We start from the raw sequence: 12,827 nt of genomic DNA on the forward strand, positions 1-12,827 counted from the left end.
AGGGGACAAGTGAAGCCTAAGCTGTTTCCGGGGCGCTCAGACCAGGCAGGGACTCAGGCGTGCAGCTGCCTGGGCACCGCTTCATTTCCCCCGGTGCCTCGGAGTCCCCGCGGGACCTGCTGCTCAGCGGTCCAGCGTCACTCAGCCTCCCGCCTAGAGCGAACAGGACCTCCAGGTGCTCCCTGCAGGGGATTGAGCCATGGGTGGCCAGGACTCTAGCAGGAACCCTCAGGGAGCCGGCTCTGCCTGGTGCATGGGTCGAGGTGCTCATCAGTTTCAGAAGCTGCTCCCAGGCCCCCATTTTCCCAATCCCCTTAGAAGAGTTTTGTTCTGAGCTCCACTGAAGGTCATTTAGTCTTAAATGGAAGCAGGGAACCCTCAGCTGTCACCCACGTGAAGGAAAACCAGCTGAGGCCATGCCTTTGAGGTCCGGCGCTCCTCCCCCACCCTGGGCCTCAGTCTCCCCATGGAGGTGCTGGCTATCCAGAGCCCTGCTGATGGCAGGCAGTCACCAGTGAGGCAGACCCGGCCTGGACGTTCTGGCTCAAAGGACAGGGTGCAGCCAGATGCCAACACTTCCCTCCAGGGCAGGGGCCTGCAGCTGCAGAGCTTGGCTCTAAATAACGCCAACCTCCTTGCTCTGCACAGCCCTGGGGTGGCCCTGCAGTCCCCATGACACAGGGCAGAGGTGCTGCCTTTGGGTGGGACGGCAGCCCTCCAGGAGATGCACCCCTCACAACCCACCCAATCCCTCTGCCCCTGCCCTGCAGAAGCCTGGTTAGAGCCCATAGCCTCACTCTTCTGGGCCGCCGAGCACTCCAGGGCCTCTATGCAAGTGAGGGGCATGCGCTGGGGCCTCCCACACCCTCCCTAGGTGCAATTCTCCTTGTCTCATCAACTCGTCTCATCCTGGGATGCGAAGGGTGGTCAGGGACAGCCGTGTTCATGAGCTGCCATTTGGAACTGGCATTTGGATCTTGATGGAATGTCCTAATTGACAGGAGGGCTCAGTGCACATGCCAGGGACGCGCAGGAGTTAAATTCTGAGACAGGAGTGCTGCTCTGTCCTGCTTCTGCTGTGCCTGCCCAGCCTCCAGAACAAGACCATGTGCTGCAAGCTGCCACCCAGCTGTGCTCTCTGACCCGCCACCTGCCCTCAGCACCAGCAACACTAGCAAGACCTCAGCCTCCCACCAGGGAAGCTCAACAAAGAAGTGAACATTGCTCCAGGGATTTTTTTTTGTCTGGCAGAAGCAGTTAGATCTGATCTCAGCTGGAATCCTTCCTGGATTGGAAGACACTGAGCCACTCTCCGTGCTATATCCCGGCCACAGCTCACTCTCCCCCAAACAGGTCCTGTCACACCCCATACGCTCCCCTCACCCTCCCACATGCTCCCCTCACCCCATCCCCACTCACTCCTCACAGGCCGAGGCACAGGGAACCCTGCCAAGTTCAATCCAGACCTTGGGCAGGGAGGCAATAAAGCTAAGGGAGGTGGGGAACTCCCGGCCTGTGAGGAGGGGAGGCAGGGTGGCCTGCGAGGAATTTAGGGAATGCAGGGAGATAAGGGGAGAGCGGAGAGGAGAGGCAGTGGTGCTGACAGCATTAGCCTGCTGGGAAGGAGCTTCATGAGCACCATCTGATTTACTTGGTCCTTGTGTCCGCCCGAGGGGCACCAGCCGGGTCAGGTGGCCTGACCACTCACAGCTATGACCCAGGCACATTACTGAACCTGCTTCCACATCTGCAAAAGAGACTGGTGGATGGCCTGCAGGGGATTCTAGGAGGTTAAGGAGGTCAGGGGCCAGATCCCCACCCAGGGACAGGCTGTAGAAGCCATTCTGTGGGACGCTGGCCATCCCATGGGTCACCCCCAGGGTTGCACCCACAGACCCTGAGAAGCCAGTGACTGGTCAAGGTCACAGGGCAAATGCCTTCAAGGAGGGGCAGAAAGACTTCCTGGAGGGTCGAGACTGCAGCCAGAGGGTGGCCTTTTGGATGGCATCTGGAACGGGGCTTGGTCCCAGCCTCCACGGGGATGGTCAGGGTGCTCTTCCTTCCTGCTGGCTGGCCCTGCCCCCAGGATCCAGCCCTGTTCCACCTGAGTTCCCGTACACAGGAGTCTTCGTGGGGTGAGGCCGCGTCCTGGCCCTCAGCCAGCGCAGGGCATTAGGATGCTTAGTGTGCATTAGTGACTGCGCCAGGGGAGTGCCAAGGCCCTCAGGAACCTGGGAGAGGCCCCATGACTCATGAGCGTGGCTCCTGGGTCCCCCTGCCGCCAGGGCCTCAGCCGCCTACTGTCTACCATCCAGAGCTCAGCTGGCACCAGCGCCCAGCAATCACTCAGCGACCCTCACCCCCTTCTGTTGGTAACACACCTCGAAGGGTTGCCAGAAAGACCTGCTGAGAAAGGGAGAAAACTCTCTCAAGAGCTCAAAGCACCACAAAAATGCAAGCTGCCAACACCAAAGGAAATCACCCACAAACATATGTGACCACTAACTTTCTTCCCCTTAAATGGACAACAGGGTGGCAGCCCTGTATGTCCCACCTGCCGGAGGACCCTGTATGAATTGTGCCTCTGCGCACAGCGGACCTGCATGTGCTGGGCCTGCAGGCTGCCAGGGATGAGCAGGCCATGAGGTCACCCCTCTCCAGGCTTCCACTGGCCTGCCCTGAGCCACCAGGGCCATCACCAGCTGTCAGAGATAAAACAAGACAAGTAGGGAGCTGGCTTCCAGGGCAAGGGGCCCACCCAGGGACACCCAGGCTGGAAGCTGGTGCGCTGCTACACGGACTAACCCCCACAGACCGCCTGTGGTTCACAGCTGCCTACAGGGGGCAGAGGTAGACATCAGGAATCCAAATCACCTACCAGGCCAAATCACACACGTGGGCTGAGATGACACCCCATCCACTCCCTTCCAGAAACTGAGCTGCAACAGAAAACCCGGGGGAAACCCGCTGCTGTGACCACCCCACTCCTCCAAACCTCACCGATCTGTGCCCGTCTAATGAGGGTGGCTCACACTAATGGCCACATCTTCCTCCATCCCCAAAAAGTAGCCACAATCCCACAAAGAGGGCCAGGGGTACATCCAAGGCATAAACAGACCACAAGTCAAACTGTGACCTTGGGTGAGGATTTCAAGAGCCCTTCAGTAAAACTCAGAGCATGGCTGCTTTGCACACAGGCCTCCCGAAGCCCACCCTCTGACCCCATCTAAAATCCAGGGCCAGGGCCCCTCGAGGGTGGTCCCAAAGGTCCCCAGGCCACACAGCTTAAGGCACCCCTTCCTGCTCTGACATGCAGGACCAAGCTGGCCCAGGAGAAGGACTGAGTCCCTGTGAGCAGCAGCTCCCGGGAGCCCCACCCTCAGCTCTGCCTGGAGACTCCTGACCTGTCTGTCACCTCCCAGCACAGGATGGTGCTGTCCACGCACTTCTCATGAACCACACCAGTGGGACCTGCCTCGCTGGTCCAGCAGCTTAGCTGAGAACCTGTGAGGCCCAGGGAGTCCACACAGGGATGCTAGGGGCAGGCAGGATGCAAATGGCTCCAGAGTTCCCCCACACCTGCCCCAACCCCCAAGCCTTGCCCTTTCCCACCAAACTTGGTAGGATCCGGGCTCCTGACTAGGGCTGCCTGGATAGCAGCAAACAATCGCATGGCCTTTTTCCAGGTTTACAATCTTCCTACCCATGACACCCTGGGGATTCAGAGGGTGGAACGGACTATCAGTCACTCTACAGGAAAGCAGAGGCTCAGAGAGGGTAAGCAACATGCCCAAGACAGCACAGCGGGGCAGCACTCTCTCCGGGTCACCCCGGATGCCTTCAGCACAGCTCCTACCCACACCCACTGCTGAGCTCTCCCTCGCCCCCAGGCTGCCTGGGGGCACGGTGGACACCAGCGAATGCCCATGCCCAGGACCCCTGCCCTCCCCTCCCTGATCAGTCCCACAGCTGGCTGGAGGCCTGGGGAGTCACAGCAGACATTGTTGCGGAACGGGGCTGCATGGAGCTGGGCCAGTTCCAAACCCCAGAAAACAACATCCCTGGGCTCGTCTCCTCTCTGGTTCCAAGTCGGCATCTTACTCCTCACTCCCCCTTCCCAGGCAGCCCTGCCCACGGTGCTTAATAAACACACACTGAATAGGCAACCATATCACTACCATTTCAGAACCGACTGCAGGCCACTATGCGCCTCCGGTTTCACAGCTCTGCAGGAGTGTCCTAGAGCCCACTTAGCAGCTGAGGAGACCGAGGCTCAGAGAGGGCTGACGGCGTGTCCAGCAAGTGGGCGGCAGACGTGGAGTCACACTGGGCTCCCTGGGCCCAGGACAGGGTGGGTGGGACAGACAGGGAGGCCCAGGGTGACTCCATGTCTGCCGCCCACTTGCTGGGCACGCCGCCTCACCTCTCTGAGCCTCAGTCTCCTCAGCTGCTAAATGGGCTCCGGGACACCCCTGCAGTGAACAAGACCTGTGTGGGGAGCTGAGGAGCTGCACTTGGGAAGGTGCAGGATGGGGTGGGAAGGAGTGAAGTGTGTGTCTGCGAGTGCATGTGTGTGTGCATGTATCCATGCCCATACAGCCCGTCCTGCATCCCCCATCAGTGTGTGTGTGTGTGTGTGTACACATCTCCACACCCATACAGCCCGTCCTGCATCCCCCATCAGTGTGTGTGTGTACACATCTCCACACCCATACAGCCCGTCCTGTATCCCCCATCAGTGTGTGTGTGTGTGTGTACACATCACACCCATACAGCCCGTCCTGTATCCCCCATCAGTGTGTGTGTGTGTGCGTGTGCACATCTCCACACCCATACAGCCCATCCTGTATCCCCCATCAGTGTGTGTGTGTGTGTGTGTGTGTGTACACATCTCTACACCCATACAGCCCATCCTGTATCCATCGGTGTGTTTGTGTGTGTGAGTGTACACCTCTCCACGCCCATACAGCCCATCCTATATCCCCCATCAGAGTGTGTGTGTGTGTACACATCTCCACACCCATACAGCCCGTCCTGTATCCCCCATCAGTGTGTGTGTGTGTGTGTGTGTGTGTACACATCTCCACACCCATACAGCCCGTCCTGTATCCCCCATCAGTGTGTGTGTGTGTGTGTGTACATATCTCTACACCCATACAGCCCATCCTGTATCCCCCATCGGTGTGTTTGTGTGTGTGTGTGAGTGTACACCTCTCCACGCCCATACAGCCCATCCTATATCCCCCATCAGTGTGTGTGTGTGTGTGTGTGTGTGTGTACACATCTCCACACCCATACAGCCCGTCCTGTATCCCCCATCGGTGTGTTTGTGTGTGTGTGTGAGTGTACACCTCTCCACACCCATACAGCCCACACCTATGTTCCCCGTCATGCAGTAGTTCTTAAATGGTAGTGATGTGGTTGCTTATTCAGTGTGTGTATGTCAACTCCCATCACTGTGTGTGTGTGACTGTGCACATGTCTCCACACCCACATGGCCTGTACCTATGTCCCCTGTCACTGTGTGTGTGAGCCTCCACAGCCTGCACCCTCCTCTTGGTCATGTTCAATGATTTAAAAGCATCCCTCCCCACTGCTTCTATTTTTGCTTTTGACCTTTAGTTGAATGCTCACAGCTGCTGGGCCGTTGGCGTGATGGTGAGTTCATCACGTGTAATCGGGAGACAGGACAATTTTATTTCCTCTAATACAAGCGCTGCTGCCCCAGCCCCCTTCCAAGACCGGAGCTGGCTTCTCTAAGCGCTTCCCTAGAGTGAGGATGTAATAATCTGCTGGAAGGCGTGACCGTGCCGTGGAAGGCTCTAGGTGACAGGTGGATGTGGTCCGTGTCACCCTGCTGGTGTTGACACACTCCCTGCCCCACCTCCATCCACAAGCCCTGCTGGGGCATGGAGGAGGGTGCTCTCTTACCAACACTTCGGGCTGAGAACCCACAGACTCTCTCCATTGCTCATGAAGCCCCTACTGCAGGTGAGGAAACTGAGGCACAGAGCCCAAGAGAGGTGCTCAGGTCACACCATGGAGGCCTGTCTGACCCAGGTGGCCCTGAGTCCAGAGGTGCTCGCCTGGGTACCCACACAGTCCCCTGGGCTCCTGAGTGCCTTTTCCCCCATGAAATGACGTCAGGGAAACCCCCTGTCCTGGGGCTGAAGTTCTGCCTCCAGCCTTGGTGCCAAACAAGCCAGAGAAGTGGCGGGGCTGCCCCAACAGGCACCGTCCTGGACGCAGTGTCCCTGTGCACACCTGTGGAACCTGCTCTGCCGGTGGAGGAAGAGAAGTGGGGGAGGGGGGCAGGGAGGCCCAGTGTGACTCCGAGTCTGCTGTGGGCTCAGAGATACTCACACAGTGAGTGGGACCTACAGGGGAGCTGGCAGGGGCCTGGGGTTGGGGGCTCCCCCTATCCTGCCCTCCCAGCCCTGGTCCTTCTGCCCAGATCCCAGGGCATGTGTTCCCAGCTGCCCCACTGACTGCCTCACTCCCAACTCTTCCTGGAGCCTTCTCCAGGGCGCAGCCCCAGACAGCCCAGGCAAGAAACCCAGAAGGAAGAGGTGGGGCCAGAAAGGTGAGGACTGGATTCGGGATTGAGGTGGGGGCTATGGTCAGCTCCCTGGGGGAGGCAGCGGGAGGCAGGGGCAGGCCTGGGGGAGTCCAGGGCAGCGGGGGAGAGGTCCCCACATGTCAGCTCCTGCCTGCTGTCACCTCTCCTGATTCCTTCCCCATCCCACTCAGGAGTGGGGATGGGGGATCCCATCTCACTAATGAGGAAACTGAGACACACACGGTTGTTGGTCGTTAGGCTGTCTACCAGAGGTCGCCCAAGGCCAGGCCACCCTGCCCACCCCCGTCTGGCTCAGTCCAAGACTTTGGGAGTCTTGGCCAGGGTAGGGCATTAATCACCTCAGCAGCGGACCACCATGACAAACCCCACATACCCCACATACCCCGGAGTGAGTCACATGGGCAGGGCTGGCCCCTTCCTCTTGGTCTCACATTCCTAAACAGTAGACACCTTCCAGGAATTCGGTCAGCAAAGTGGCTGGAGCTGCTGGGACAGACAGCCTGTGCAGGCCTGGCCCCCGGCACACCCAGAGGAAGGAGAGGCTGGGTGGCTCAGGTGTGGCCCCGGAGCTCGGCAGGCCCAGCCCCCAGGGACACAGCCCACGTGCACAGTGGGTGACAGACCAGCTAAGATATAGTGCTGTCCTAAGAGCTCAAGGCAGAGACTGCCATTAACACAGCCCAGCCCAGACAGAAGAGCACACCTCCCAGAGTCACCGTGAGTGCAGTGGGGGAGGCAGGAGGGGCTTTTGGACACTGAGGTAGCTGGAAAAGCAAGCAGAGGGCGGCATCTCAGCCACAGGCTGGAGACATGAGGGACGTCCCCAGTGAGGGGAGGGGGGGAAGGGGGCGGGGATGGGGGGAACTGGAGGCGGAGAAGACAGCCAGGGAAAGAGGGGAGGTATGAAAACGCCTGGCTAATGGTGTTAAGGAACTGCCACTCATGGCCGGGCATGGTGGCTCACGTCTGTAATCCCAGCACTTTGGGAGGCCAAGGTGTGTGGCTCATTTGACGTCAGGAGTTCAAGACCAGCCTGGCCAACATGGTGAAACCCCACCTCTGCTAAAATTACAAAAATTAGCTGGGCATGGTGGCGGGCACCTATAGTCCCAGTTACTTGGGAGGCTGAAGCAGGAGAATGGCTTGAACCCGGGAGGCAGAGGTTGCAGTGAGCCAAGATCGCGCGACTGCACTCTAGCCTGGGTGATAGAGCAAGACTCCATCTCAAGAAAATTAAAAAGGAACTGCTGTTCATCTTCTTCCAGAAGACATGGGAGAGGAATGTGGCAAAGGCATCAGAGCCTGATCACAGAGCACCTCCAACTTTATTTTCAGAATCCTGAACCTGATGCTGAGGGGTCCCCAGAGAGCCAAGTGCAGGGTAGGGGCTGTGTTTCAGGAAAGACAGAGTGAGGGCTGGAGGAGACCATCCTGGAGGCAGGGAGGCCAGCTGGGAGGCTGGTTCCACGATCGCTGAAGCAAAGAGGAGGAGTGGGAGGGTGAAACCCCACCATCAGCACTGGAGAAGGAATGGCAGGTGTGCCCAGTGCCACCCTACCCTGGCAAAGGCCACACCCATGCTCAAACCACTGGGCTCTCCAGGGCAAAGACCTGGGCAAGGCAGGATGGACAGGGCCTGGTCAACCCAGAGCCCCGTGAACAGACCACCAACTATGCCACACCAAGCTGGTCAGACCCACCAGATGCTGGACCCCGCCTGCAAAGAACACAGCCCCTGAAGACAACCGTGGAAGTTCTATCTTCCAGGACAGAGCTGCCAGGTAGGAGGACAGCGTATGAAGCCTCACACCTGGGGTCTGGCCTCGCTCCCCCCACCCATGGTCACTCACGGCCACTCCACGGGTGGGCAGAAACCCAGTGACCGGTGCAGGCCTGCCTGCCTGGCCTGGGGCGTCCATGACCCCTGCCTCGGCCACCGCACAATCGCTCCCTTTGTTCCCCGGCTCCCCATTGTCTGCAATTCTCTCGCCTGCCTGCGCCAGGCCAAAGGAGGATTTCCAGGGGGATTTCTCAATGGGCTCGCAGGGAAACAACCTGGCAGTGGGACCTGCTGCTCATGGCCTTCCTTGAAAGGCCACGAAGCAGGATGGGGGCTGACGACCCTTTGTAAATGGCCCCAGATGTGAGCAGCTATTTTAAACCGTGCCATCTTCGGGCTGCGTGGTGGATAAGGAGCTGGTCAGAAAGGTCGTTCCATCTTAACAACTAAAACCTGCGTCTTCCCATGACTGACCATTACCGACGCATCACGGCAAGTCACTTCCCGGTGTGAACCCCCCTTGGCTTCTCCCAACAAACCTGTGAAGGACATCAGAGCATGCCCCGTTTCCCCAGGGGGAAACCGAGGCTCAGGAAGCTGAGGCATATCCCCTTATGTGACCTAGTCTGAGCTGTTTCAGACACACATCCCCATGTTCACTCAGGATCAGCCATCTCAGGTGGCCACACCCAGCGGGGGCGGGGGGATGCTGGCAGAGGCCTGTGTGTTTCCAAGGCTGTCCTCTCCTGACATGGATGGGGGTACCAGGCCTGGCCCCCCATCACTGTCAGAAAGGGGTAGGCGCGGCCTAGCAGACACAGCTGCACTTCTGACGACGACCACCCTGAGGTCCCCAGGGTGACGTCCACACCACGGAACAAGCAAACAGCCACTTCGCATGAGGTGTACAAAGAACAGTCAGTGATGTGACAAGGTATTCTCCACCTGCGCATGTAAAAAGAGTTGGGATCAAAAATGGTAGGAATATCACGTGGCAAAATGTGTTTTTGAAAACGGATGTCTTGTCTATGGTCATACCACCGTGAACGCACCTGATCTCAGCCGAAAATGGATGTCTTGGATAGGATCCTGAACAGAAAAAAAAAATGTTAAGTCGGCTGGGCACAGTGGCTCATGCCTGTAATCCTAGCACTTTGGAAGCCAAGCCAGGTGGATCACCTGAGGTCAGGAGTTCAAGACCAGCCTAGCCAACATGGTGAAACCCCCTCTCTATGAAAAATACAAATTAGCCAGGTGTGGTGGCGCACGCCTGTAATCCCAGCTACTTGAGAGGCTGAGACAGGACAATCACTTGAAACCAGGGGGCGGAGGTTGCAGTGAGCTGAGATTGCGCCTCTGCACTCCAGCCTGGGTGATAGAGCAAGACTCCGTCTCAAAAAAAGAAAAAAAAAGTTAAGTAAAAACTAGGGAAATGTGAATCAAGAATGGATTCTAATTGATACCAATCAATACAGGTTCATTCATTGTAATGAATGCACAAGACCAGTTAAGAAGTTAATAGGGGACACTGGGCGCAGAGTTTATACGAGAACTCTCTGTATCTCCTCAATTTTTCCATAAATTTAAAATCTGCCCTAGGCTGGTCTGAGTGCAGTGGTATTTACAACTAATTGATCACAATCAGTTATAGATTTCTTTGTTCCTTCTCCACTCCCACTGCTTCACTTGACTAGCCTTTTAAAATATTATTTTTAAATGCCTTTTAAAAAAATTAAACTAAAAAAAATTTTTAAAAGATAAAACTGCTCTAAAAAACAAAGTTTATTTTTAAAAGTGTGTATAACTGGCTGGGCATGGTGTCACACCTGTAATCCCAGCACTTTGGGAGGCCAAGGCGGATGGATTGCCTAAGGTCAGGAGTTTGTGACCAGCCTGACTAACATGGTGAAACCCCATTTCTACTAAATACAAAAAATTAGCTGGGCGTGGTGGCACATGCCTGTAATCCCAGCTACTTTGGAGGCTGAGGCAGGAGAATCACTTGAACGTGGGAGGCGGAGGTTACAATGAGCCAAGATCGCATGATCGCACTCCAGGCTGGGCAACGAGCAAAACTCCTTCTCAAAAAAAAAAAAAAAAAAAAAATCCTGGGCACAGTGGCTCATGCCTGTTATCCCAGCACTTTGGGAGGCCGAGGCGGGCGGATCACAAGGTCAGAAGTTTGAGATCAGCCTGGCCAATACGGTAAAACCACGTCTCTACTAAAAAAATACAAAACATTAGCCGGGCATGGTGACAGACGCCTGTAGTCCCACCTACTCAGGAGGCTAAGGCAGAAGAATCACTTGAACCTGGGAGGCAGAGGTTGCAGTGAGCCGAGATCGCGTCACTGCGCTCCAGCCTGGGTGACAAAGCAAGGCTCTGTCTTAAAAAAAAAAAAAAAAAAAAGCACATATAACTAACATACACATGTGATAAAATCTCATAAAACACTGCACACACAGAGAAATGAGTGTGTGTAACAGGCGGGTACAATCTGAGCTCAGGTTTGCAGTCGAGGCTGTGCTGTGTCGCTGTCATGGTCCTGGCTTTGCTAATGTGCTCCTTATGTGAGATGTCACCATTGGGGGAAGCTGGCGGAAGGGTATGCAGGAGCCCTTTGTACTACTTTTGCAACTTTTTTTTCTTCTTTTTAGAAAAGGGGGGCTCACTATGTTGTTCAGGCTGGCCTCCAACTTGCTGGGCTCAAGAAATCCTCCTGCCTTAGCCTCCCAAGCAGCTGGGACTACAGGTGCGCATAGCCGTGCCTGACTTACTTTTGCAACTTTTTGTGAGGGTAGGATTAGAGATGATTTTTAAATCATAATTTTGAGCATTATAGTGTCTTCCAAGTGTTTCCACAATGAGCAATGGATTATTTAGGGGCAGTGATTCTCTGTACCTCCACCAGCGATAAATCACGTGGTGGTGGGGAGTGGAGCCAGTGGTCCAAGGACCAGGTGAGATAGCAGCTGGGAGGTGCTCCTGCCCCCATCCAGGCAGGGTGCTTATCCAGCAGGCCACTCGGAGCACACAAGCATCCTTGCCACACCATCACCACACGCTCCCCCTTGCACAGAGACCAAAGAAGGGGACTACCTTGCTCCCCAGGCCTGGTGGGGTTGATGTGTCATGTTACGTCAGGAGAGGTTCTAGCCTCCCTGAGCTCCTCTCAGGGGAATCTCAGGATAAATTAGGAAGGCAGAACTCAGGCAGGGGTGTACAGTGCATGAGAAGAAATCTATCACATGGCAGACACTGAAACGCAAATCCTTCATGGCTTTGCAGCCAGAATAAGTTTTCTTACCAGTGCTCAACTTTCAAGTCCACATAACTGCCCCACTGCCCACAGAGCGGGGGAAAAATCACACTCCAAATAAGAACTGCCTTGGGGCTGGGCGCAGTGGACGCTGTAATCCCAGCACTTTGGGAGGCTGAGGCAGGAGAATGGCTTGAGCTCAAGAGTTTGAGACAAGCCTGGGCAACACAGCAAGACCTTGCCTCTACAGAGAAACATTTGTTTTAAATTGGCCAGGCATGGTGGCACACACCTGTAGTCCCAGATACTTGGGAGGCTGAGGCAGAAGGATCTCTTGAGCCAGGGAGATGGAGGCTGCAGTGAGCTAAGATTGGGCAACCACACTCCAGCCTGGGCCACAGAGTGAGACCCCGTCCCCTCCACCCCCAAAAAGAAGAACTGCCTCCATACCACACCTGTTCAGTCCTCCCATGGGAAGCAAAGACACATGCCGATAACCAATAACATGTCACTGTGGGCCACACTCACAGTGGTATGCAGAGACTCTCTGGGTGCTGGGGTCAAAGGTAGTTAGTTCTTTTTCTAAATTTCCTACAATAAACAGGAAATAGTTTGGGAAGAAGAAAAAGTTACTAATGGGGAAAGACTGCTTTTATGTGGAGAGAGCACAGAGAGGTGGTGTGGGCAGGTGTCAGGTGTGGGGACCCCAGAGCCAGAGTGTAGGGTCAAACCCCCGCTCTGCCGCTTCCTCCACTGGGACCTTCTTGGGCAAGTGACTTCACGTCTCTGTGCCTCAATTTGCTCTTTGCTCAAATGGGGAACATAAGTGTCTTTGCCCTGCAAGGGTCAAATGAGTGAATGTGTAGGAAGTGCTGAGTGACTGTTAGCTATTATTATTCCTACTATTATTGTCACCACACACGCGTCTTGTTTGATCCTCAAGAGCCCATACAATGGGATGACTGGGACACCTCATTAACAGACAGAAAGGTGTGGCACGTGGGTCTGCTGCCTTGTCGGAGATCGCACGGGTGGATGCACGACTAGCGTTCAGATGCAAAGACCCTCCCTCTGGGCCCCCTTAGGTAGCACAGACCCTCGGGGCACCAGCCAGGTAACTAAAGACCTCCTCACCCAGGGCCCACCTGGCAAGGTGGTGTGGCTGTCCCAGCCCTTTGCCAAACACAGCAGGGAGGTTAAGACCAAGA

The 12,827-nt window shown here is 55.9% G+C and overlaps 1 protein-coding gene across 4 annotated transcripts in view, besides 7 other annotated features; it reads right to left on the bottom strand.

Moving 5' to 3' along the window:
* CCDC85C (coiled-coil domain containing 85C) overlaps nt 1-12,827 on the bottom strand; it is a 104,018-nt gene that overhangs the window by 72,869 nt on the left and 18,322 nt on the right. The window lies entirely within an intron of this gene.
* Nucleotides 58-976: an enhancer, noted in NCBI's record as "H3K27ac-H3K4me1 hESC enhancer chr14:100039453-100040371 (GRCh37/hg19 assembly coordinates)". NCBI's record gives its function as "activates a minimal SCP1, AML or CMV promoter by ChIP-STARR-seq in naive and primed H9 embryonic stem cells {active_cell/tissue: H9 hESC(naive and primed)}" and the evidence as "EXISTENCE:reporter gene assay evidence [ECO:0000049][PMID:30033119]".
* Nucleotides 58-4,931: a biological region, named in NCBI's record as "VISTA enhancer hs1931".
* Nucleotides 257-4,931: an enhancer, noted in NCBI's record as "VISTA enhancer hs1931". NCBI's record gives its function as "enhancer in: heart[11/11]" and the evidence as "EXISTENCE:transgenic organism evidence [ECO:0001131][PMID:17130149]".
* Nucleotides 977-1,897: an enhancer, noted in NCBI's record as "H3K27ac-H3K4me1 hESC enhancer chr14:100040372-100041292 (GRCh37/hg19 assembly coordinates)". NCBI's record gives its function as "activates a minimal SCP1, AML or CMV promoter by ChIP-STARR-seq in naive and primed H9 embryonic stem cells {active_cell/tissue: H9 hESC(naive and primed)}" and the evidence as "EXISTENCE:reporter gene assay evidence [ECO:0000049][PMID:30033119]".
* Nucleotides 5,779-6,738: an enhancer, noted in NCBI's record as "H3K27ac-H3K4me1 hESC enhancer chr14:100045174-100046133 (GRCh37/hg19 assembly coordinates)". NCBI's record gives its function as "activates a minimal SCP1, AML or CMV promoter by ChIP-STARR-seq in primed H9 embryonic stem cells {active_cell/tissue: H9 hESC(primed)}" and the evidence as "EXISTENCE:reporter gene assay evidence [ECO:0000049][PMID:30033119]".
* Nucleotides 5,779-7,332: a biological region, named in NCBI's record as "CDK7 strongly-dependent group 2 enhancer GRCh37_chr14:100045528-100046727".
* Nucleotides 6,133-7,332: an enhancer, noted in NCBI's record as "CDK7 strongly-dependent group 2 enhancer chr14:100045528-100046727 (GRCh37/hg19 assembly coordinates)". NCBI's record gives its function as "activates an origin of replication core promoter dependent on BRD2, BRD4, P300/CBP, MED14 and CDK7 cofactors, with strong dependence on CDK7, by STARR-seq in HCT116 cells {active_cell/tissue: HCT116}" and the evidence as "EXISTENCE:reporter gene assay evidence [ECO:0000049][PMID:35650434]".

This window comes from Homo sapiens, chromosome 14 (assembly GCF_000001405.40).
Source record: "Homo sapiens chromosome 14, GRCh38.p14 Primary Assembly".
NCBI lineage: Eukaryota > Metazoa > Chordata > Mammalia > Primates > Hominidae > Homo > Homo sapiens.